Source organism: Homo sapiens, chromosome 8 (assembly GCF_000001405.40).
Source record: "Homo sapiens chromosome 8, GRCh38.p14 Primary Assembly".
NCBI lineage: Eukaryota > Metazoa > Chordata > Mammalia > Primates > Hominidae > Homo > Homo sapiens.
Window position 1 is genome coordinate 57208832 of NC_000008.11, and position 24880 is coordinate 57233711.

At 47.3% G+C, this 24880-nt stretch overlaps 1 long non-coding RNA gene across 1 annotated transcript, besides 3 other annotated features; it reads left to right on the forward strand.

Moving 5' to 3' along the window:
• Positions 1-1200: an enhancer, noted in NCBI's record as "BRD4-independent group 4 enhancer chr8:58121391-58122590 (GRCh37/hg19 assembly coordinates)". NCBI's record gives its function as "activates an origin of replication core promoter dependent on BRD2, P300/CBP, MED14 and CDK7 cofactors, and independent of BRD4, by STARR-seq in HCT116 cells {active_cell/tissue: HCT116}" and the evidence as "EXISTENCE:reporter gene assay evidence [ECO:0000049][PMID:35650434]".
• Positions 1582-2082: an enhancer, noted in NCBI's record as "H3K4me1 hESC enhancer chr8:58122972-58123472 (GRCh37/hg19 assembly coordinates)". NCBI's record gives its function as "activates a minimal SCP1, AML or CMV promoter by ChIP-STARR-seq in primed H9 embryonic stem cells {active_cell/tissue: H9 hESC(primed)}" and the evidence as "EXISTENCE:reporter gene assay evidence [ECO:0000049][PMID:30033119]".
• Positions 6525-6725: a silencer, noted in NCBI's record as "peak7032 fragment used in MPRA reporter construct". NCBI's record gives its function as "represses an SCP1 promoter by STARR-seq MPRAs in K562 erythroleukemia cells {active_cell/tissue: K562}" and the evidence as "EXISTENCE:reporter gene assay evidence [ECO:0000049][PMID:32103011]".
• Positions 9445-24123, forward strand: LINC01606 (long intergenic non-protein coding RNA 1606). The gene is made up of 10 exons (NR_038235.2): positions 9445-9521; positions 9772-9864; positions 10225-10307; positions 10579-10792; positions 11280-11464; positions 12568-12776; positions 13338-13440; positions 13764-13865; positions 20714-20897; positions 22561-24123. It is a non-coding gene; the product is annotated as a long intergenic non-protein coding RNA 1606 (long non-coding RNA).
• Positions 24124-24880: the final 757 nt, after the last annotated feature.

Here is a 24880-nt window from a genome sequence, read left to right on the forward strand (position 1 = left end):
CGAGAAAGAAGAAAGAAATTCCGTGGATAGGGAGCCAGCCAGGTTTCCTGCAGAAAATCATGGGAAGCTTTTGAGCAGGGGAGTCAGAAGATGAGCGGTGAGTATTAGGGCTTTCCGGTCACGGTGTGACACAGGGATTGGCCAGCTCTTCCTGTAAAGGGCCAGGTGGGAAGCACTCGTAGGCCCCGTGGTCTCTGTCGTGTCTGCTGAAGCCTGCCGTAGTAGCGTGGAAGCAGTCAGAGATGACGTGTAAGCAAATGGTCCCGACTGACCTCCGGTAAAGCATTGATTCCGGAAGCATTTAACAGACCTAACAACCTTTCAAACCGCATGGCGTTTCTTTCCCGGATCCCGTTTCAGGAACGTTTCTGTTGGCTACAAGGACCGTCTCCAACATGCTTAGGCTCTGTGAACTTTCCCAGGATCCTGAGTAGGGTATCCGCCATTCGTCCTTAGGGCTCCGGGATGTCTCGTTCTTACTGTGTCCCTGCCAACCCTGGTCCCATCTCGTCATGATCACCCACTGCAGAAGAGAGGAGGTGCTAGAGTGAACAGGGTCAGGGGAGCCCCGTTCATCCCCAGGGTCCCAGAATGAACCAGTGTTACCATGTACCCCTGCCCTTGCCTTCCTCCCTGCTCTAATGGCCGTGTGTTAGCCGGAGATCAGTTTGGGTCTGGGTGCTATGGGTCTGTTGCGCCTGTGGCCTTGGTCCGGCCTCTGTCCTTGTCTCTGTGAAATGAGAGTGACTGTGCCTGAGAGCGTTCCAGCAAGACAATGATGATCTCCACTGTCTGATTCCCGCTTCCCAGGTTCTCACAGTAGACGAGGAGCCTGTTTTTCAGCTAGCTGCCACAAGGGGGCTGGAAATTTCTCCCTTCAGAGTGGACCTGGAAGGCTTGGAAGCATCTGGAGAAGGGCATGGCCACGAGTAGAGAAATCCAGGCTACAGGCAGAAGTGGGAGGAAGCGAGAGAGGAAGACTCATGGAAAGCCTTGCTGCACTCGCCAAAAGAGCTGCCCTCGGACTCAAGAGGGCCACGTTCAATGTCAACCTGACATAAGGTAGTCACCTCTGGAGCACTTGTGGCCTGGGGCAAAAACACAGCTGGATTGAAGGAAGAGTCTTCCCTGTTCCCAGAGGGGCACTGACTGGAAATGAGCATGAAGGTGGGGTCCCTAAAGGGCCACAGAACGAGGCCCTATGCAGGTGTCGGTACAGACTGCCCCAAAAGCCCCCTGAGAAGTTGGTCCTGGGGTGTAAGAGGAAGGCACAGTGAAGAGCAGGAGTGAAAGCTGCTTCAGCACTTTGGAGCAGGAAGGAAAGGAAGTGAGATACAGTTGGAAGAGGGCGAAGCGGGCAACCTGAGGGATGGAGTGCAGGGTTTGACCTTCGATTCTGGATCTCCTCCATTAGCAGGCTTCCGGGGTGGCGTTGTTGCCTCTCTGCCGATCCTTCCTTCGGGTGGGGCTGTCGACTGGCACCACGGCCTGTCAGACCGTGGGCGGGGGGCGTTGCAGGCACAGTGCGGTTCCTAGTCTTAGGCATGCTCACTTGAGGCGTTCTTCCCCTACCTGTCGACTGATCTCAGAGGAAGGAGACTGAGCTGCTCAGCCCTGCCGGTGTGGCTGGCAGGGTGTCCCGCATTAGCCCATGTGCCCGAGGTGGAGTACAGGACTGGACCTTGGACTCAGGGTCTCCCGCGTCGGCAGCATCGCTGCCTGTCCTCTGATGCTTCCCTCGGCGGGGAAGAGGGGGCTGTTCACTAGCACAGTGGCCTGTCACCATCTCATGGGGGTGCGGAGGCGCCGTGTGCTTACTGGAGTTGTTCTCATGCTCTCTTGAGGCGTTCCTCCCACAAGCAGATGAATGTGCCCAGGGGAAAACATCCCAGATCAGTGAACCTTCCACCAGTTTGCCTCTCAGGGTGCACGTGTGAGCCCATTCACCCAACTCCCGAGGTGTGCTGGGGAGGCTTCTGAGGTTCGTGACTGCTGTGGGGGAGGGGGACTGCCTTTCCCTGGTGCTGCCTGTGATCAGTGATTTCTCTAGAGAGTCTGCTTCGTGACCACCGGGCCATCACCTTGCGGCTGCCTGATGTTTACTGGTGGTGGGGAACCCTCTCGGGCCCCGCTCCACACGTGTGACTGAGAGGGACACCTGACAGGATTGAACGCGTGGCAGATCATCCGACGAGATGGAGTGTCTGGTGGAAGGAACATCTGACAGCCCTGAGCGTGTGGCAGAGGGAACATCTAAGCAGACTGCAGCGATTTCAGAAGGAACGGCTAAGAACATCGCATGGTCAGCAGGAGGAAACCTTAGGGTAGGGTGATTGCAGGGGTGCTGGGGGGCAAGGGAACCCGTGAGAAGACTGCGGGATCAGCAGTTGGATGCCCTAGGGAGATTGCAAGGCCTGCCCAAGAGACATCTGGGTAGAGGAAGTATTGGGCCCATGGTGCGCCAGACAAAACTGAATGCTTGTCAGGGGAAGAAGTGGACGCAACTGGCTGTTTGGCAGAGGGAACCCTCAGGTAGATTGCACGTTTGGCAGAAGGCCCAAGTGTGAAGATGACATGGTAGACAGCAGAAACCCTTTAGCAGGTCGCACGGTGGGCAGAAGGAACCTCTGAGCAGATTCCATGGTGGGCAGACGGAATGCCTAGGAAGAGTGCGTGGCTTGCAAAGGAAGCATCTGGAAAGAGGGAACATCTGGGAGAGAAAACATCCACCAAGATGGAGCGTTTGGCGGTAGGGATGTCAGCGGTGGCAGATCCATAGGGGCCTGCAGGCAGCAACCCGAGCTCTCACCTCATCAGAGGGAGTTTAACTGAGGGGCGTGAGGCGGAGTGAAAGAGACCGAGGCCTCTTTGAGCGCAGGAGTGCAGGTCTCCCAGATGGTACCAGAGCAGAAAGACGAGGCAGTAAGGTATACTTGGAAGAGGGCCATGTGGGCAACTGGAGAGGTCGGGGGCACGCTTTGTTCGACCTTTGAGGCGAGGTCTCACACATTGGCAGGCTTCCAAGAGCCAGGGGTTGCATTGCTTCCTCCCCTGAGCCTTTTCTCAGGGTGGGCCATCCACATGGGCAGTGGCCTGTCATCACCTGGGAGGGACCGCAGGCGTGGCGTGTTTCCTGGAGTCATAGGGGCGCTCACATGAGGCGTGCCTCCCTTGGCAGTCGGATGTTGCCTGGGGAGGGTCGTAGGACAGTAAAACCCGGCCGGTTTGCCTGTGAGTGTGCAAGCATGAGCCCCGTCACGCGCCCCCTGAGATCTTCTCAGGGAGCTGCTAATCGCCACCTTCCGGGGTTTCTGTCTGTCTGGGGGACCGCCCGTCCCTGGCACCGGCTCCCGGCAATCATTTATTATTTGAGACAGGTAGTTTAATGGCAGCCTGACCCGTCGCCTCCTGGTCGCCTGATGTGTCTGGTGGGGTGTGGGCGTGGCCCTCTCCTGCGCTGCTCCTGTCTGACCAGCCGCCCACGGTAACACAGAAACATCTGGCAGGATGGAGTGGTTGGCGGAAGACACATCTGACGAGATCGAATGTTTTGCAGAAGAGCCATGTGACGGGATCCGTGGTTTGGCAGAGGAGACATGCGAGAAGACGGAACGTTTTGTCCGAATAGACATCTGGCAGGGTGGAACGGAGAGAACAGGTATGGTGGAGAGAACGTCTGAGAAGGTCGCAGGATTCGCAGGAGCATCGGGAAAAGATTGCCTGCTTGCCCGAAGGAATGGCAAGTTCCAAAGGTCAGAGGCTCGCGTGAACTCTGTCGGGTTCGAGAGCAGCTCAGTGTTGCTGGTGGCAAGAGTGTGGTACGGGAATGGTTGGGTGTGGTTTGAATGTCTAGAAAAGGCGAGCTGAGGGTAGATTTTTGAGTGGTCCAGAGCAGAAGGGGTAGAGGATATATTCTGTGGGCCACGGCCACATTCTCAGGATGCTCGTGGCTGTAAATAGTAGATGACCCAAGTAAGAGCGGCTGAAGCCATAGGCACCAGAATTGTGTCAGCATCGTCGTGTCATGCTCATGTTTTCCCTTCCAGCTGTGCTGTGGGCAGTGTTTAGTTCATGTCTGCTTTGCTGGCGGGCCGAGTAGCAACAGCTGCAGTTGGTGTGTTCTCTGAAGGCAGTATCCGAAGGCTGGAGGGGTTGCTTTTCTTCCCAGGTGTCTTTTGAAGAGGCAGTCAAGTCAGCAGCTCGCGGTGACCTTCTGGTAACATCGTATGGGCTGGGTTACAGCACATGCCGACTGCTAAGCCGGTCACTGGGGAAAACCATGTGATTGCTGTGATGAGCTTAGAATGATCATTCCTCCTTCGGGAGCTGGGGTGGGTTGAGGGAGTGATAAAGATCCCGATAACCTTGCATTTCTCCAGCGAGAAAGAAGAAAGAAATTCCGTGGATAGGGAGCCAGCCAGGTTTCCTGCAGAAAATCATGGGAAGCTTTTGAGCAGGGGAGTCAGAAGATGAGCGGTGAGTATTAGGGCTTTCCGGTCACGGTGTGACACAGGGATTGGCCAGCTCTTCCTGTAAAGGGCCAGGTGGGAAGCACTCGTAGGCCCCGTGGTCTCTGTCGTGTCTGCTGAAGCCTGCCGTAGTAGCATGGAAGCAGTCAGAGATGACGTGTAAGCAAATGGTCCCGACTGACCTCCGGTAAAGCATTGATTCCGGAAGCATTTAACAGACCTAACAACCTTTCAAACCGCATGGCGTTTCTTTCCCGGATCCCGTTTCAGGAACGTTTCTGTTGGCTACAAGGACCGTCTCCAACATGCTTAGGCTCTGTGAACTTTCCCAGGATCCTGAGTAGGGTATCCGCCATTCGTCCTTAGGGCTCCGGGATGTCTCGTTCTTACTGTGTCCCTGCCAACCCTGGTCCCATCTCGTCATGATCACCCACTGCAGAAGAGAGGAGGTGCTAGAGTGAACAGGGTCAGGGGAGCCCCGTTCATCCCCAGGGTCCCAGAATGAACCAGTGTTACCATGTACCCCTGCCCTTGCCTTCCTCCCTGCTCTAATGGCCGTGTGTTAGCCGGAGATCAGTTTGGGTCTGGGTGCTATGGGTCTGTTGCGCCTGTGGCCTTGGTCCGGCCTCTGTCCTTGTCTCTGTGAAATGAGAGTGACTGTGCCTGAGAGCGTTCCAGCAAGACAATGATGATCTCCACTGTCTGATTCCCGCTTCCCAGGTTCTCACAATAGATGAGGATCCTGTTTTTCAGCCAGCTGCCGCAGAGGGGCTGGACATTTCTCCCTTCAGACAGGACCAGGAAGGCCCGGAAGCATCTGAGGAAGGGTGTCGCCATGAGTAGAGAAATCGAGGCTATGGGCGGAAGTGGGAAGAAGCGAGAGAGGAAGACTCATGGAAAGCCTTGCTGCGCTTGCCAAAAGAACTGCCCTCGGACTCAAGAGGGCCACGTTCAATGCCAACCTGACATAAGGTAGTCACCTCTGGAGCACTTGTGGCCTGGGGCAAAAACTCAGCCGGGGTGAAGGAAGAATCTTCCCTGTTCCCAGAGGGGTGCTGACTGGAAATATGCATGAAGGTGGGGTCCCTAAAGGGCCACAGAACGAGGCCCTATGCAGGTGTCGGTACAGACTGTCCCAAAACCCCCCTGAGCAGTTGGCCCTAGGGCTTCAGAGGTAGGCACGGTGAAGAGCCGGAGTGAAAGCTGCTTCAGCACTTTGGAGCAGGAAGGAAAGAAAGCGAGATACAGTTGGAAGATAGTGAAGTGGACAACCTGAGGGATGGAGTGCAGGGTTTGACCTTCAACTTGGGGTCTCCTCCTTGGGCAGCCTTCTGGGGTGGCGTCATTGCCTCTCCACTGATCCTTCCCTTGGGCGGTGCTGTCAACCGGTGCCGCTGCCTGTCAGCCCATGGGCGAGGTGAGTCACAGGCACTGTGGGGTTCTTGGAGTCTTAGGCCTGCTCACTTGAGGCATTCTTCCCCTATTCGTTGAGTGTTCTCAGAGGGAGGGGACGGAGCTGCTCAACCCTGCTCTTGTGGCTGTCAAGGTGTCCTGCATTATCCCACACGCCCAACTCCTGGGATCTTACAGGGAGGCTGCTGATGTCCACCTTCCTGCGCTTCCATCCATCAGGTGCCTGCCCTTCCTTGGCTGCAGCCGGCCGTGAGGAGTTTTCCTCCATAGATAGGGTTCAAGTACCGCCCAACTGTCACCTCATGGTCATCTGACATTCCTGGTGGTGGTGGGGGGACCCCCGGTACTATGCTCACGTCAGACCAAGTACCTCAAGTGATAGGAACGTCTGACAGGATTGCACATGTGGCAGAAGAGCATCCGAGAAGATTGAAGCTTTGGCAGAAGAAACACCTGCCAGATCAGATGTGAATGTGTGGCAGAAGGCCCATCTGGGAAGATTGCACATTGGGTAGTAGGAAGACCTAAGAGCACTGGACAGCAGAAGGAGTGCCTCTGGAGATTGCCCGGTGGGCGGCGGTAGCATCTGGGAGGATTGCGGGGTGTGCGGGAGGATGAGCTGGGAAGGATTCAAGGCCTTGGGAGGCAACATGTGAAGATGATTAAATATGTGGCAGAAGAAACACCTGAGAAGATGGGATGCTTGCCAGGGGGAACAAGGGACAGAGTGGAGCGTTTGGGAGAAGGGATGCTTAGGGAGATTGCACGTGTGGTGGAAGGAACATGTGAGAAGGTTGCATGGTGGACAGCAGAAACCTTGCAGCTGATGGCACAGCAGCAGGGAGGAAAACGTAGGAAGCATGCAAGTGCGTGGCCTGCGAAAGAAGCATCTGAAGGGATGGCATGTCTGGCTGAGGACAGGCACATTGGGCAAGATTCCACGTTTGGCAGTGGGGCCCGTGAGTGGCGGCAGATGCGTGCAGGCCTGCGGCAACCTCGGTTCCTGCCTCCTGAGCAGAAGGACATCGACCGAGGGGCACAAGGCAGAGGGAGAGACTGAGGAACACGTTGGAGCAGGGGCGAAAGTTCCTGAAACGGTATTGTGGCAGGAGCCAAAGGAAGTCAAGGAGGCTTGGAAGAGGCCCAGGCAGGCAGCAGCCTGAGAGGTGCAGTGCAGGGCTGGACCTTCGACTCGGGGTCTCCCCCATTGGCAGCATTGCTGCCGGTCCCCTGATGCTTCTCTTGTCGGGGAAGAGGGGGCAGTCCACTGGCGCAGTGGCCTGTTAGCATCTTCTTGTGGGGTGGAGGGGCGGGGGCCGCAGGTGCTGTGTGCTTACTGGAGTTGTTAGCGTGCTTGCTTGAGGCATTTCTCCAGCAAGCAGACGAATGTGTCCAGGGGTAAAGGTCCTACAGCAGTGAACCTCCCACCAGTTTGCCTCTCAGGGCACGTGCGTGAGCCCACTTGCCCAACTCACAAGGTCTGCCAGGGATGCTTCCGATGTTCCTGACTGCTGTGGGGGAGGGGGACTGCCTTTCCCTGGCACTGCCTGCGCCAGTGATTTCTCTAGAGAGTCTGCTTTGAGACCACACGACCATCACCTCGCGGCTGCCTAACATTTACTGGTGGTGGGGAACCCTCTCGGGCCCCGCTCTGCACGTGTGACGGAGAGGGACACCTGACAGGATTGAACGTGTGCCAGAAGATCATCTGACGAGATGGAGTGTCTGGCGGAAGGAACATCTGACAGCCGAGTGTGACAGAGGTAACATCTAAGCAGACTGCAGCGATTTCGGAAGGAACTGCTAAGAACATCTGGTGATCAGCATGAGGAAACCTTAGGGTAGGGAGATTGCAGGGGGGGCTGGCAGGGTGAGGGAACCCGTGAGAAGACTGCAGGATGGGCAGTTGGACGCCCTAGGCAGATTGCAAGGCCTGCCCAAGAAACATCTGGGTGGAGGAAGTATTGGGCCCATGGTGCGCCGGACAAGACTGAGCGCTTGTCAGGGGAGGGAGCGGACACAACTAGCTGTTTGGCAGAAGGAACACTCAGGTAGACTGCACGTTTAGCAGAAGGCCTAAGTGCGAAGATGGCGTGGTCAACAGCAGAAAACCCTTAAGCAGGTCTCATGGTGGGCAGAAGGAACCTCTGAGCAGATTCCACGGTGGGTAGACGGAACACCTAGGAAGATTGCATGCCGTGCAAAGGAAACAGCTGGAAAGAGGGAACATTTGGGAGAGAAAACATCCGCTAAGATGGGGTGTTTGGCGGTAGGGACGTCCGCGGCGGTGGATCCATAGAGGCCTGCACGCAGCAACCTGAGCTCTTGCCTCGTCAGAGGGAGTTTGACTGAGGGGCATGAGGCGGAGGGAGAGAAACCGAGGCCACTTTAAGCGCGGGTCTCCCAGATGGTACCGGAGCAGGGAGGCGAGGCAATAAGGTACACTTAGAAGAATGCCATGTGTGCAACTGGAGAGGTCAGGGGCATGCATTGTTCGACCTTTGAGGAGAGGTCTCACACATTGGCAGGCTTCCAGGAGCCAGGGGTTGCGTCGCTTCCTCCCCTGAGCCTTTTCACAGGGCGGGCCATCCACATGGGCAGTGGCCTGTCGGCACTTGGGAGGGACCGCAGGCGCAGCGTGTTTCCTGGAGTCGTAGGGGTGCTCACTTGAGGCGTGCCTCCCTCGGCAGTTGGATGTTGCCCAGGGAGGGTCATAGGACAGTGAAACCCGGCCGGTTTGCCTGTGAATGCGCAAGCGTGAACCCCCTCGCCCACCCCCTGAGATCTCGGGGAGCTGCTCATCGCCACCTTCCAGGGTTTCTGTCTGTCTGGGGGACTGCCCGTCCCCGGCGGGGCTCCCAGCAATCATCTGTTATTTGAGAGAGGCAGTTTAATGGTGGCCTGACCCATCACCTCCTGGTCACCTGAGGTGTCAGGTGGGGTGTGGGCGTGGCCCTCTCCTGCGCTGCTCCTGTCTGACCAGCCGCCCACGGTAACACAGAAACATCTGGCAGGATGGAGTGGTTGGCGGAAGACACATCTGACGAGATCGAATGTTTTGCAGAAGAGCCATGTGACCAGATCCCTGGTTTGGCAGAGGAGACATGCGAGAAGACGGAACGTTTTGGCCGAGGAGACATCTGGCAGGGTGGAACGGAGGGAACAGGTGTGGCAGAGAGAATATCTGAGAAGCTCGCAGGATTCCCAGAAGGAGCACTGGGAGTAGATTGCCTGTTTTCCCGAAGGAACGGCAAGTTCCAAAGGTCAGAGGCTCATGTGAACTCTGTCGGGTTCAGGAGCAGCTCAGTGTTGCTGGTGGCAAGAGTGTGGTACGAGAGTGGTTGGGCGTGGTTTGAATATCTAGAAAAGGCGAGCTGAGGGTAGATTTTTGAACAGTCCGGAGTAGGAGGGGTAGAGACATATTCTATGGGCCACAGCCACATTCTCAGGATGCTCGTGGCTGTAAATAGTAGATGACCCAAGTAAGAGCGGCTGAAGCCATAGGCACCAGAATTGTGTTGGCATCGTCGTGTCACGCTCACGTTTTCCCTTCCAGCTGTGCTGTGGGCAGTGTTTACTTCATGTCTGCTTTGCTGGCGGGCCAAGTAGCAACAGCTGCAGTCGGCGTGTTCTCTGAAGGCAGCGTGTGAAGGGTGGAGGGGTTGCTCTTCTTCCCAGGTGTCTTTTGAAGAGGCAGTCAAGTCAGCAGCTCACAGTGGCCTTCTGGTAACATCGTATGGGCTGGGTTACAGCACATGCCGACTGCTAAGCCAGTCACTGGGGAAAACCATGTGATTGCTGTGATGAGCTTAGAATGATCATTCCTCCTTCAGGAGCTGGGGTGGGTTGAGGGAACGATAAAGATCCTGATAACCTTGCATTTCTCCAGCGAGAAAGAAGAAATTCCGTGGATAGGGAGCCAGCCAGGTTTCCTGCAGAGATTCACGGGAAGCTTTTGAGCAGGGGAGTCAGAAGATGAGCGGTGAGTATTAGGACTTTCCAGTCACGGCGTGACGCAGGGTTTGGCCAGTTCTTCCTGTAAAGGGGCAGGTGGGAAACGCTTGTAGGCCCGGTGGTCTCTGTCATGTCTGCTGAAGCCTGCTGTAGCAGTGTGGAAGCAGTCAGAGATGACACGTAAGCAAATGGTCCTGACTGGCCTCTGGTAAAGCGTCGATTCCAGAAGCATTTAACAGACCTAATAACCTTTCAAACCGCACAGGGTTTCTTTCCCAGGTCCTGTTTCAGGAAAGTTTTTGGCGGCTTACAAGGACTGTGTCCATCATGCTTGGGCTCTCTTATCTTTCCCAGGATCCTGAATAGGGCATCCCCCGTTCATCCATAGGGCTCTGGGATGTCTTGGTCTTACTGTTTCCCTGCCAAACCCGGTGCCATCTCGTCATGATCACCCACTGGAGAAGAGAGGAGGTGCTGGAGTGAACCGGTTCGGGGAAGCCCCATTCATCCCTGGGGTCCCAGAATGAACCGTTGTTACCATGTGCCCCTGTTCTTGCCTTCCTCCCTGCTCTAATGGACGTGTGTTAGCCTGGGATCAGCCTTGGTCTGGGTGCTATCGTTCTGTTGCACCTGTGGCCTTTGTCCGGACTCTGTCCTTGTCTGCGTGACGTGAGAGTGACTGTGGGTGAGAGCGTTCCAGCAAGACAATGATGATCTCTGCTGTCTGATTCCCACTTCCCAGATTCTCACAGTAGACGAGGAGCCTGTTTTTCAGCTAGCTGCTGCAAGGAGCTGGACATTTCTCCCTTCAAATAGGACCTGGAAGGCCTGGAAGCATCTGGAGAAGGGCATGGCTGTGAGTAGAGAAACAGAGGATACAGGCTAAAGCAGGAGGAAGCGAGAGGACTCACGGAAAGCCTTGCTGCACTCTCCAAAAGAGCTGCCCTTTTCACGTGGTATGCTGTCCACATTGGCTGTGTCCTGTTGACAGCTGGGAGGGGCCGTAGGCATGGCGTTTTTCCTGCAGTTGCAGGCACTCTCACTTGAGGCGTGTCTTTTTCGGCAGTAGGATGTTGCCCGGGGAAGGTCATAGGGTAGTGAAACCTGGCCGGTATGCCTGTGAGGAGGTGTGTGTGAGCCCCCTCGCCTGCCTCCTGATACCTTCTTGGGGAGCTGCTCATCACCACCTTCTGGGATTTCTGTCTGTTGGGGGCACTGCCGTCCCTGGCGCTGCCTCCCAGCCATCATTTCTTATTTGAGAAAGGCAATTTAACGACGGCCTGCCCTGTCACTTCCTGGTCACCTGACATATCTGGTGGGGTGTGGGCTAGACCCTCTCATGCGCTGATCCTGTGTGTCCAGCCATCCACAGTAACACAGAAACATCTGGCAAGATGGAATGGTTGGTGGAAGACACTTCTGATGAGGTCGAATGTTTTGCAGAAGAGCTATGTGATCGGATCCCCGGTTTGGCAGAGTAGACATGCGAGAAGACTGAACGTTTCATCGTTGAAACCTCTTAAAGGTGGAATGTGTGGCAGAAAGAACGTCTGAGAAGCTCACGCGATTTGCAGAAGGAACATTTGTAGAAGATTCCCTGTTTTCCGAAGGAATGTCAAGTTCCAAAGGTCAGAGACTCACATGAATTCTTTCCGTTTTAGGAACCATACATTGTTGCTATTGTAAAGAGTGTGGTACTGACGTCGTTGGGCATAATTTGAATGTCTAGAAAAAGTGAGCTTAGGGAAGATTTTTGAGCAGTCCAGAACAGGAGGGGTAGAGGATATATTTTGCGGGCCACGGCCACATTCTCAGGATGCTCGTGGCTTTAAATAGTAGACGACCCAAATAATAGCAGCTGACGCCATAGGCACCAGAGTTGTGTTGGTATCGTTGTGTCATGCTCACATTTCCCTTCCAGCCATGCCGTGGGCAGTTTTTAGTTCATGTGTGCTTTTCCGGTGGACTGAGTAGCAACAGCTGCAGTTGGCGTGTTGTCTGAAGGCAGTATCTGAAGTGTGGATGGGTTGGTCTTCTTCCCAGGTGTCTTTTCAACAGGCAGTCAAGTCTGCAGCTCATAGTGACCTTCCGGAAACATCATATGGTCTGTATTACAGCACATGCCTATTGCTAAACCCATCACTGGTGAAGGCCATGTGATTCCTGTGATGTGCTTAGAATGATCATTTCTCTTTCGAGACCTGAGTTAACAAGTGCAGGGTTTGACTCAGGGTGTCATTTGTTGGCAGGCTTTCAGGGTAGTGTTTTTGCCTCTCCCCTGATCCTTCCTTTGTGTGGGTCTCCCAGTGCCGTGGCCTGTCAGCCCATGGGTTTTGGGTGTCACACGTGCATGTGGTTCCTGGAGTCTTAGGCATGTGCTCTTTTCTTACCCATTGAGTGTTTTTAGAGGAAGGTTATGGAGCTGCTAAACCCAGCCCTTCTGGCTGTTAAGTGTCCTGCATGAGCCCACGCACCTGATTCCTGGGATTTTACTGGGAAGCTGCTGATGTCCACCTTCCGGCTCTTTTGTTCTTTGGGAGGCTGCCCTTTTTTGGCACCGGCAGGCTGCGAATGGTTTTCTTCCATAGAAACATTTCAACAACTGCCTGGCCGTCATCTAATGGTTGTCTGACATTTCTCGTGGTGGTGGGGGAAGCCCCTCATACCCTGCTTATGTCAGACCAGTTACCTAGAGTGACTGGAATGTCTGACAGGATTGCACATTTGGCAGAAGAACGTCCGAGAAGATTCAGTGTTTGGCAGAAGAAACCTCTGTCAGACGTGAACGTGTGACAGAAGGGCCATCCAGGAAGATTGCACACTGGGCAGAAAGAAGACTTAAGAACATTGCATGGACAGCAGAAGGAGTGCTTCGGGAGATTGCCTGGTGGGCGCCAGGAACACCTGAGATGATGTCATGGCAAACAGTGGAAATGAGAGGTTTACATTTAATGTCTTGTTTACATAAGGTAGTAAACTCTGGAGCACTTGTGGTTAGGGGTGAAAACTCACCCTGGGTGAAGGAAGAATCTTCCCTCTTCCCAGAGGGGCAATGACTGGAAACGAGCAAGTAGGTGGGGTCTTTAAAGGGCCACAGTACTAGGCTCTATCCTGACAGCTGTTCAGACTGCCCCAAAAGGCTTGTGAGAAGTTGTTGCTAGGGCATAACAGGACAGTTAGATTAAGAGTAGGAGTGATAGCTTCTTCAACACTTTGGAGCAGGAAGGAATGGAAGCAAGATACAGTTGGAAGAGGGTGTAGTGGGTGACTTGATGAATCGAGTTCATGGTATTATTTTTGACTTGGATTCTCCTTCATTGGCATGCTTCTGAGTTGGCGTCATTGCCTCTGCCCTGATCCTTCCCTTGAGTGGGGCTGTTCACCAGTGCAGCGGCCAGTGAGCTCTTTGGGCGGGGTGTGTGGCATACACAGTGCGATGTCTGGAATCTTACACGTGCTTACTTGAGGCATTCTTACTCCACCGGTCGAGTGTTCTCAAAGAAAGATGATGGAGCTGCTAAACCTTGCCCATTTTGATCTGTTATGTGAGACTTGCCTTTCGCCTTCTGTCATGATTGTGAAGTGTCCCCAGCCATGTGGAACTGTGAGTCCATTAATCTTTTTTCCATTTAAATTACCCTCTCTCAGGTATGTTTTTGTCAGCAGTTTTAAAACAGACTAATTTTAGAAGCTTGGCCCTAGTTCTTTGTAGGCCTTTCAATATTAAAAATGTCCAATATTGAATATTAAAAGTATTCAGTATTTCTATTAAACTCTTGAGTCATTGGGGTTCCAATCAGGGTTGTCAATATGTACTGCCCCTCTTCCTTTTGGTAATGGAGTTTCCCTTGTTTCTTTTCTTTCCCTATTTTGTCTTGCATTTTTATTTATTTATTTATTTTTATATGTTTTTTTGTCGCACTGTAGGACACATATTGCTTGTCTCTGAACTTCTCAGCTGCCTGCAGATCTTCCTGTTTTTCAGCTGCAGTTAGGGTTTGTCTGAGGAGAAGCATAACATCCCTCCAGGTAAGGTCCGACACCTGAGTTAAATTTTGGAAAGCTTCTTTATACCTGTCAGGGTCATTCGAAAACCAGCCTAATTCTCTTTATCTGCCTGTGGTTCTGCAATGAGAAGGGAACTGGAACCTTAGTGACATTGTCTCCATTAGGCATTGCCTGCAGTGGTAAGCGTCAGACTGTGGAATGAGGAGTGATGACACTGGAGGGGCTGACATTGCATTTGGAAGGGGCCCTGAATAAGGGGGACCAAGAGGGGCCTGAACAACTGCCTTAGATGTTTTTCCCAGAATTTGTTTCGCTAGTGTGGGGGAGTTACTTCCTTTGGGCCTGCCTGATATGACTGTTAAAATAGCTGTGTTGATTGTGCAATGCTTACAAATGTCTAGTAACCTTTGGTTCTCCACTGGTGATTGTTTTTTTTTGACTTTGTAAACCTGTGTGACCTGTATGGTTCCTCAATAGATGGATCTTGGAAAATAGGATGTAATAGTTGTATTTGGGCAAGGCCTCTTTAATGGAGACAGTGTACTGAGTTGAGCTCTCTATTTTGCTATCATGGCCTCGAGTCATGTACTTATTCTTAGGCAGTGATTCTGGTTAACTTTCAGACATAAAATGTTACTATTTAAGTAACATGTTAATTGGAGGCAGAATAGGTGCCTTAAAATAATGTAAGGAATGAAAGGTGGTTTTCCTGCTCATGGGACAGTACTGGGGCTAAAACTTCATTTTGGAGGACATTTTCCCCCTCATTGTTGAGTTTTCCCATTCACAGAAGCAGCATAAAGCCTGGTCTCTAGTAGAGAGTGCAAAAGTGAGAATTCAGAAACTAGAATGTTTCAGCAAAGGGCTGACAAGCTGTCTCATGGAGAGGATTCTAATTGCAATAGGTGGTGCTGTTGACCTTGAAATACCATGTGCTCTACAGACCAAGGGCTGAGAGAGAGAGAGAGAGAGAGAGAGAGAGAGAGAGAGAGAGAGTCGTTCACTGGATGGGATGGGTGAGACCCTCTGTTTCTAGAAAATCACAAAAATGGCACTCCCTTGATCTATATTCCCAGTTACCAGAGCATTTCCAAATCTTGCCTAACAGGATTATTTCCCTGAGCTTTAAAAATTTCTGCAGCATTGCACACACACAGTAGATAAGAGACATGGTTGTCTTAGACAGGAAAGGAGGAAAATTGCAATAGGAAAGGCTCCAAGATCCTGTTGCAGATGCCCATCCGGCAGTCAGAGGGTGGAGTTAGTCCAGAAGCCTTTGGGTAACAGTGGGGTATGGTCCTGGGAAGGAAGCATTAGTTGCCTCTGGACCTCTTCCAGACCCACATGACACCTAGGCTGTCTGTGAAAGAAAACTGGTTCAAAAGAGAGTCAACATTCCCAGCACTTTGAGGGCCCTGGGGGATTCACTAAGTTTTCTCTGTTGTCTTAGTATTGAGAATGGTTGCCACCCTAAAGGTTTTTTTAATTTGCTATCAGTTGCCCAGTTTTTAGTTTATAATTTTAAAGTTGAGGGCAGAAGCCCTCAAAATCAAAGTAAAGGTTTAGGGTCCACTCCTCTACTCACCTTTCCGATGAATCTACCTTGGATCCCCAACCAGCCCCCACAATGAAATGGCATTATTGTCTGTGGTAAATATCTGAGATTCGTTGTCTCACAGACCTGGAAAACTAGGCCACAGACACTCAGAGTGAGGCTCAGAGCAGAAGTTTAATAGGTGAAAGAAAGAGAAAAGCTCTCTTGCTACAGAGAAGGGTCCCAGAGAAATGGGTTGCTGGTTCGGCAGTGAAGTGCAAGGGGCTTTATAGATGAGCTTGAAGTGGGGAGGTGTCTGATTTACCTAAGACACAAAAGATTGGTTTGACCAGGTGTGCCATTTGCATAGGGCATGAAAAGCTGGCTGCCCCCACCATAACCTTTTATTATGCAGATGGCTTTTCTGCCTGGCCAGTGTCACATTGCCCTTTTTTCTTTTTTTTTCTTTTTTACTGTAAACATAGTAACAATAAAAGGGAAGATGGAGCCTCTGTGTTGGACATGCCTGGCCCCCAGGTAGCCCTTTTCTATTGGCGCAGCTACTAGCATCCTAAATCATTTATTTCTACCTCCTGTATCATGGCAGCAGATCTGTATGGGTCTGCAGCAACCTCAATTCTTGTCTTCTAAGAAGAAAGAATTTGACTGAAGGGAGTAAGCCAGAGGGAGAGACCAAGGAAAGTTTTAAAACAGGAGTGAAAGTTTATTAAACAGCATCAGAATAAGAGCCAAAGGTAATAAAGTACATCTGGAAGTGGGCCAAACGGGTGACCTGAGAGATCAAGTGCATGGTTTGATTTTTGACTTGGGGTCTCATAGGTTAGCAGGCTTCGGGGATTGTTTTTTCTCACTGATGCTTCCCTTGGGGCAGGTTGTCCACATGCAGAGTGGTCCATCAGCACTTGGTAGGGGCTGAATGTGCAGTATGGTTACTGGAGTTGTATGCACGCTCGCTTGATGTGTTCCTCCTGAACCAGTCAAATGTTGCCAGAGAAAGGTACTAGAGCTCTTAAACTACACCCACTACCATGCGTGAGCCCACTAGCCGAACTCCTTTGAGCTTATCAGGAAGCTGCTGAACACTATCTGGTGTTTCTGTCTGTGGCAGGAACCATTTTTCCCTGGCACCAGCTGGCACTGGCTGCGAACAGTAAATATTTCAGAGATGCAGTTTACAACCACCTGACCATCACCTCCTGATCACCTTACATTTTTGGTTGGGGGCCCCCCCCTCGTGCCCTGTTTATGTTTGACTAACCGGAACATATGACAGGATGAAATGTTTGGCAGAAGAAACATTGTATTGGACACTTAATAGCCTATTGTCCTAATAGACTACATACAGCATAGTGTAAACATCACCTTTATGCACTGGAAAACCAACAAATTTGTGTGACTCACTCTATTGTGATGTTTGCTTTGCGTCATTGGTCTGGAACTTAGCTTGAAATATTTTCAGTGTATGCCTTTAAATGGGACTGAGATACAGTAAGTGAGTCATTAGTGATCAAGAAACCAAAAAAATTAAGGATAATAGAGTAGCTTAAATTTGAGAGAAAATGTTCAGAAAGAATTTGAGGTGCTTATTATGTGTTTGTTTGTTTTCTTTTTTTAACAAATGAATATTCAGCATCTCATCCACTGAAACAACCTTTAATATGATTTACTGTATCTCTTGAATACTCATTCATGCATGCAATACTAACCTGCATGCCTACTATCTGCTAAGCAGTATTTGAAGAGCTAGAGATACAGCAAGGAACAAAATAAAGCCTCTCCTCTTATAGATCTTACATAGTGGGGAGAGTGGGAGCAACCAGTGAACAAACTGGAAAATGTGTATATAAAATAGATGAGGTGATAAAAAGTGCTTTAAAAAATAGAAGAGATTAGAGAATGAAGTAGGTACTATTTGAAGTCAAATGGTCACAAAATACTCCTCTTATGACAGGGTAATAAGCAAAGGCCTGGATAAAAGAGGAAATAAACCATACTGTTGTCTGATTTAAAAAAAAAAAAAAGCACTCCAGGAAAAGAGCACCACATATGCAAAGGCCCTGGGATAGAAGCACACACGCCTGGCGTCTTTGAAGATTGCAGTAAGCAAGGGGAGAATGACCGAACTGCAGATCAGAGAAGTGTTAGGGGACAAGTTTGAGATCTTGTTTGCCATGACAGGATATTGGCTTTTACTTTGATCTGCAAAATCATTGGAAGGTTTTAAGCAGACAAAAAACATTAATTGTCTTATGCTTTTAAGGCTTACCCTGGTTGCTCAGTGAAGAATAAAGTACAGGGAACATGAGAGAATACATGGGAGATCAATCAAGATGCTACTTCAGTAATCCATGACAATGACAACGTAAAGTAATGCAAGGTGCACGTGATGGGTATGGTAAGGAGATTAGATTCTGAATAGAGCTCAACAGTGTATGCTGATATGAGGTGTAAGAAACAAAAAGGAGTCAGGGTGAGTTTTCTGGCCTAGTAGCTGGTACACTAGAGAGATTATTTACTGAGATGGGGAAGACCGATGAGTGGAGGGTCCAGGGGTTAAGAGTGGAGGATCAAGGATTTCCTTGTGGAAGTGTGCTGTTTTCATTGTATATTAATCTTCCTAGTGGCAATAATTAGCAGGCAATTATATAGGAGTCTAGACTTCAGAGGAAATGTAAGAGCTGGAGATATACATTTATGTATCATGTGCATATAGATGGAATTTAATACCATCAGGCTTTGTGAGATCCCATAGGGATGAGTGCACATAGAAAAAGGGCTGAAGACTGAGGCCTGGGATACTCCCATGTTAAAAGATGAATGTTTCTTTGACAGTTCGCATTTATAGAAATGATGGCACAATAGCCTAATGCTGAAACCCTACTCAGTTCATGGTAAAACACAATTTTTATTTTTTTGGGTCGCTGAATAGCATTTAAAATTCAGAATATTTGCAGTGATCCCAAATATCTTAATAAAGATGAAAACCTAAGTTCAGATTGGTGGCCTAGACTCTGCCTTCCTTGATCCTCCCATTTAAAAATAACAATAATGATAAAAATAAGAAGAAAATATTTATGGGTCACTAGATAATGTAATACACTCAAAGGCAGATCCATTTTTTTCTACTGTACCATTTTAGCTATCAGTCTATACACAGTACTTTGATTAGAAATGCACAGTCACTCTCAAGTCAATAGCAGTTTATAAATACAGGACAAAAAGCCTGGCCTGGGCAGGCTGAGCAATAATTGAGAGAACAAGTAGATATGAAGCTAACAAATAGCACTGTGAATCAGAAGTAGGGAGATAAGCCAGAGGCAGCACAAGTGGCAGGTCAAGACAGGTAGATAGACAGAAGCCAGGAGTGAGAGGTGAGATGTCCAAATTGCAATAAAATACTCAAGCACGAGTCAATCCACTGAAGCTTACACCAGGAGGGGTAGCTGAGGGAAGGGCCGTTCAGGTAAAGTGAAAGGAATGAAGATGTGAACAGGAGACAGGAGGGTGCAAGCTATTTGATATATTAGGAGAGGAGGTACTTTTTTGAGGCTAAGAAAATAACTTGTAGTCAGAATTTGAAGGACTATTTAGACCATGTTAAACAGCGAGCAGTTGATTCTACATGAGAATTCTTAAGAGAAGATTTAAGAAGACTTAAGAGACTTCAGAAGACAGGCTCCGCAGGACCTGGATGAGGGGGTGTGAGATACTCACAGTATTTTAACCCAAAATTAAGGATATTAGAAGCTACAGGAATAAAAGAAACAGTCCCAGGGCTGTGGGTAGGAGGATTAATGGGGTTCCATTTTAGACAGGAAGAGGAAAAAAATTTGGTAATTCATTTTGATTGAGCAAGCAAAAAAAATTGAAGCTGAGCATTATGGAAGTAACAACAATGTTTTGTGATGTTGAGATAGAAAACAGGCCCAAGAGAGCCAAATATTTTACATTTCCCTTCTGGTTAGATAAATAATAAGAATCTTCCTGTTAAGGTTTATGAAATCCCATTGTTTCAATTAATCAAAAGGAGAGAGGATCAATTTAAACTTTATAAAGTACAAGAAAATCAGTTGTCTCTTTAGAAAAAGTGAGTCAGTATTTCCTGTGGTCTCAAATCATCCTAAAATAATGGTCTATGAGACAAATGAGAATCCGCTTACTTATCTAGCTTTGTCTTTGATAGATTAAAAGTCTGTACAAAATCTTGCTATATCACAAAGACACTAATGTGCCCAACTGTATATAAAATATATAATTCACAGTATATAAAAATATACATCAAGAAATTTTAAAAAACATTGTATTCTAAAGGGAAAGATCATTTCAAATTGTTTTTTATAAACATTAGACTACCTTTGTTCATGCAAATGTGTTTAAACTATTTCTTACCCCTGATAATAGGTATAAGCCTAGGAATTATTTTTGATTATGATTTGGTCTGTAAATAAATCATGAAGGTAGACCATCCTCCCTGGAAGCATTGAGGTACCATAAAACTTTGACATTGGAGGTGACAGATTGTAATATGGTTTAATCATGTATTTGTTATGAGAACTCTGACAAGCCTGAGTTACAAGTAAGCTTGGAAACACAAATTCTGTGAAAAATACTACACACTCACACACACACAGACAGACACACACTATCACTTCTCTCTTTTTATCTTGACATAGAAAATGTAAGTATACCAAGAAGTAATCTCCAAAGAGCAAATAAAACAGAAATTTCAAACAAGTGCCTGGGTAGGAGATGCAATTTTAACATTTGTTTAAATTTAACGTTGTTTAACATTGTTTAAGTGCCTCTCATCTCTGCCTCATAAACCTATAGTCATTTTTCATAACTGCCTGAAATAGCACCTCCTCTGTAACAACTTTCCTGTTCTACCCATCAAATATACTTGCTGGTTGACTGTATCCTCTTGCTCAGAACACATGACACTTTCTACAGGGTGCTGTCTATGCTTTGACAGTAACAGGACTTTTGGGCAGGGATTTTCCAATTCATTGTCTAACTCCCACTACAATTGTCCTTCACCATGCACCCGGCAGGCACTTGAAGTGCTGGTTGAGCACTAAAATCTTGGAATGCTACATAGCCATTCCAACGTAAATAATCATTGTTTAAAACATTTTGAAAGTTCTTTTGGAACTGACTTTTTAGAATTTTTAAATATCTCAGTGATAAGTCTTCACTCTTCAAGTTAGATCGTATTTTATTTTAGAAACATCAAAAGCCATACAAAACCAAGCCTGTATATTTGTGCATTCTGTCTTCTTCCCCCTCAATGCTAAGGAAGGTTTCTTTTTCCTAGGCCAAATGCTCCACAAATAAATGTGTTGAATGAATGAACAAATGAATAAGCGAAGTGAATGGAACATCAAACTGCATAAAAATATATTTATTCATAAATGAGAGGTGATGATTGCCAACATATCATAATCAGACTCTGACCTTGGTTACTTATGAGTTTGACAACGAAGAGGAAAGAGGATCAGGTAAGTCCCTAAACACCGAAGATGTACTGAGACCTTTCCACATGCCCAAAGAAGATACTCTTGCAGAGGAGAAATGATGAAGAGGCCCAGTCACAGATGCAGGAGGAAGTTTAATTGACTGAATTTGTCTAGGATGGGAGGGATTAAATGAGGTTTGAAATGAAATAGAAATTGCTAAACTCCTGACTAGACAATTACTGCCATCCATCTCTTACATGTGCCCCTAAATAAGCACTAACAGTGCCTTGGGCAGAGACCCCAGTGACTACCTAATAGTAGCCTTCAAGAGCATCACTTCCCACTCTCCTGCCCTGCCTCACTTTCCTCCTAGGTCTTATGGGATGGATGATAGATGTCATTCCCTGGTTCCCTAACGCTCAAGTCTAGCCCCTCATTTCCTGGCAAGCATCAAGCTTGATTGTGTCTGTAACCTCTCAGAAGTCAGACCTCAGAAGTGTGCTTTTCTGGGAAATCGGGGTCAGGGAGGAAAGAAGGAGGGAATAAAGACATTGTAATAGATTTATATATATCATTGTAACTCATCCACACAACAATCCTGTAAGGTGTGGCCACTGTACTCAGAAAACTGAGGCTCAAAGAGATTGAGTAACTTACCAAAACTTCACATGTACTAAAAGTGGAGCCTAGATTTCAAACACCTGTAAGACTCTGAAATCTATATTAGCTCTTCTATACATGAGCCTAAAATGCAACTGTAAACCAATAAGACTGACTTCCTCTTGAGGCTTATCACTAGCTCTGAATAGAAGCATTCCCAAATGCTGTCTAAGCAATTGTTGCGTCATGGGAATAAGTTGATAAATTCTCAGGGTTACATACTCCTTTAGATGCACTGGAACTTTTCTCAGTATGTAGAATCAAGTGTAAGGAAAAAGGATTTGAAGGGGAAGGGGAGAAATAAAACAGGACTGAGCCTTACACGTGTTGACCAGAACAGATAATGTTTGGATTTTCTTTACTTTTTTCCCAGAGAAATCGAATAAAGAAGTTTGTTTCTGTTACCTAAAATCAACTCCCTCCCACCTTAAGTGGTTTTGTATAGAGCCCATAGTTGAACTCTGTTTTCTACAGCAGAGATTCATTTTAATGTTTTTATATTATATCAAGGCAAGTTTGATTTCTTTCTGGGTAACTATAGGCAGAATGTCAGCAATACTCCACGTATTAGCTATTAGAGATAAAACACTGTGAAACTCTAAAGGCCTTGATTATTGGGCCAATGAGATATTTATGCTGTGATCTGATGGAGCAAAGCTTTGACAGGGTTATTGAGCCACCTTCAAAGTGTATCAGTGAAGTTCTTGGCTTGCTATTTTAGATAAACAGCTTTCATTTTTACTAGTTGCTTGTACTTAATAAGGTTACTGGATTGATTCAAGTTGTTTGCAATGCGTTGAAGGTGAAGAGTATTGTATCTAGTGTCCTCATAACACACTATTACTTTTCTGAGGAAGGGTCTTGTCATTTTACCCTAGATATCAACAGAAAATATTCCATTTCTTATATATTAATTTTGCTCTGCAATAAGGAAATATAACTACCAAAAATGCCATCGAAGGTTTTAGGTTGATGCTTATTTGTGTTTCCTAATCTGTAGATAGCAGGGTCTTTTTTTAAATTTTTATTTTTTGTTTTGGTACAGGGTCGGCTTTGTTGCCCACTTGGAGTGTAGTGGCACAACCTTGGCTCACTGCAACCTTCTCCTGAAGTACATATTAGCTCACCTGGGCTCAAGTGATCCTCCCACCTCAGTCTTTTGAGTATCTGGGATTATTGGCATGTGCCACCAAGCCTTGCTAATTTTTGTATTTTTTGTAGACACAGGATTTTGCCACGTTGGCCAGATTTGTCTTGAACTCCTAAGCTCCAGTGATCCACCCACCTTGGCCTCCCAAAGTGCTAGGATTACACGTGTCACCATCGTGGCCAACCAGCAAGCTCTCTTTTAATGATTCAGAGTCTCAGGCCATAGCAGTATAAGTATCAAAACATCTATTCCCAACTTGGAGTTGAGATTTCTAATACGAATTCTATTTTCTCCATAATCATAAAATAGCATCAGGAAAAGTCTCTTGACATCTTAAAATACATATCACTGGAAAGTAGATCTTTTTGTCCTTCAGATAAACATACTGTAAAATTTGAAATGAAAATTATTCTTTGTACCACCATTCTGATTTTACCCAGGGTTAACACAAAAGTTATAGCAGTACATGAAGCTCTGAGGCTTCAATGGGTGTAGATATAGACATCCAAACCTATAATTTTACATTAATCAGAATACTATTCATATAAATCACAAATGGCAAAACCATTTCTGAAGGTATTTGGTTTTATAGATTATAAAATTAAACTTCCTTATAATTGTGTCCAAACTGAAATATGCTTCCTGTACAAAAAAGCTTTCTTCTAACAGTAAAGGCCTCCTCCCAACCCACCCGACACATACACACACACACACACACACACACACACACACACACACACACGAAGAGAGAGAGAGAATTTAGAGCACTGATCTTTTCTCTCTTAGACTAATTATTTTAACATTATTTTCAGCCACTTTATTAATTGTGGGGTTAAGGGTAGGATAGATCTAATGCCCATTTCACATGTGTTGCAACATCAGAGATTATGGTTTTCATTAAAAACATCAGAGCTAAATTCCTTTTCAAAAAAGACATTGTTACTGTTAGTACCTTGGGGAATGTTGTAGTCTTATGAATGCTGATACGTTTATTTGAGCCAATTGAATATTATCTCTAATATAAACTATAATTTACTGTGTGATTCCTCTTCCTGTTTTACCTATATATACTCAAAGTGAATGATTGTGTTTAGTGAACATTTCTTTAGGTAATAAAAATTAATTTCATTTAAGAAAGAAGTACAAAATAGTTATTAGAGCAAACTTTGGTATTTGTAATTTTGAAGTTACATACTTTTGAAATAAACTTGGGCTTTCATGCCATGTTGGGTTTGAGGAAGATAGCAAATGTATAAATTGAGCTCTCTAGTCATAACCTTGCTATATGTATTCCTGCTCATTAAAATACTTTGCGCCAGCAAAAATGATTTCCAACATATGTGTTTTGGATGTAATTAAGTAACTGTATAAAACTAAGTATGTTTTTTCTCCTTTCCCCAGTGACTGGAAAACTTTCATACTTTTAAGGTAATAATAAAATAATAATCTTTAAAGAGCAACAGCCCTTAACTCTTTGCTGGTGCTTGCCATACTGCCCTTCTTTACTCCATTCTTAGCTCTTCTAGCTGCTTCTTGTAATAATGAAATGGGAATGTGGATGGGTTATGACTTTTGTGTATGTCCCATTTCCAAATTTCCCTCTCCAAAAAGCCAACCAAATAAACAAAAATAACAGTGCAACAAAACACAAACAGCATTCCAAACGTTTGGCAAGTGATGCTTTCATCTGGGATTAAGTAGTTTTAGGCAGTCAGTAACAAAATGCTGTTCTGCTGTCATAGTAGAAAGGCAGCACATTCTTAAAAGGAACCAAGAAGACTACACTCTTGGCAAAGTCTCTTATTAGCTTTCTCCTATCTCTTCTCCCCAACCACACTGTAAACTGCAAAACATACAGCAAAAAGAATTGGCTTAAAGGCAATTGATGTTTGTAAATAAATCCACAATAGGATCCAAGCTAAAGAGGTGATACATGGTCAGCCTAGTAGGACAATTCAGAGCATGTGCATATGCAAGTAAAGGCCAGACTATATATTTTTTAAACGTCAGTGCATTTTGTTGTGTTAAAATTTTTTCAAAGCTTTATTTTGTTCCTTGTGTGCTAACTACAAATAAGTTTTAAAAGAGTATCAAAAGTCTGCCAAAAACAAAAAAGCTGTAGTGACATCGAACCATACGATGTAAGCATTGAACATGTGCAATTTTTCATATCTACAGAAGAAAATCATCCCTCTTTACAACATGGTTGGGCTGA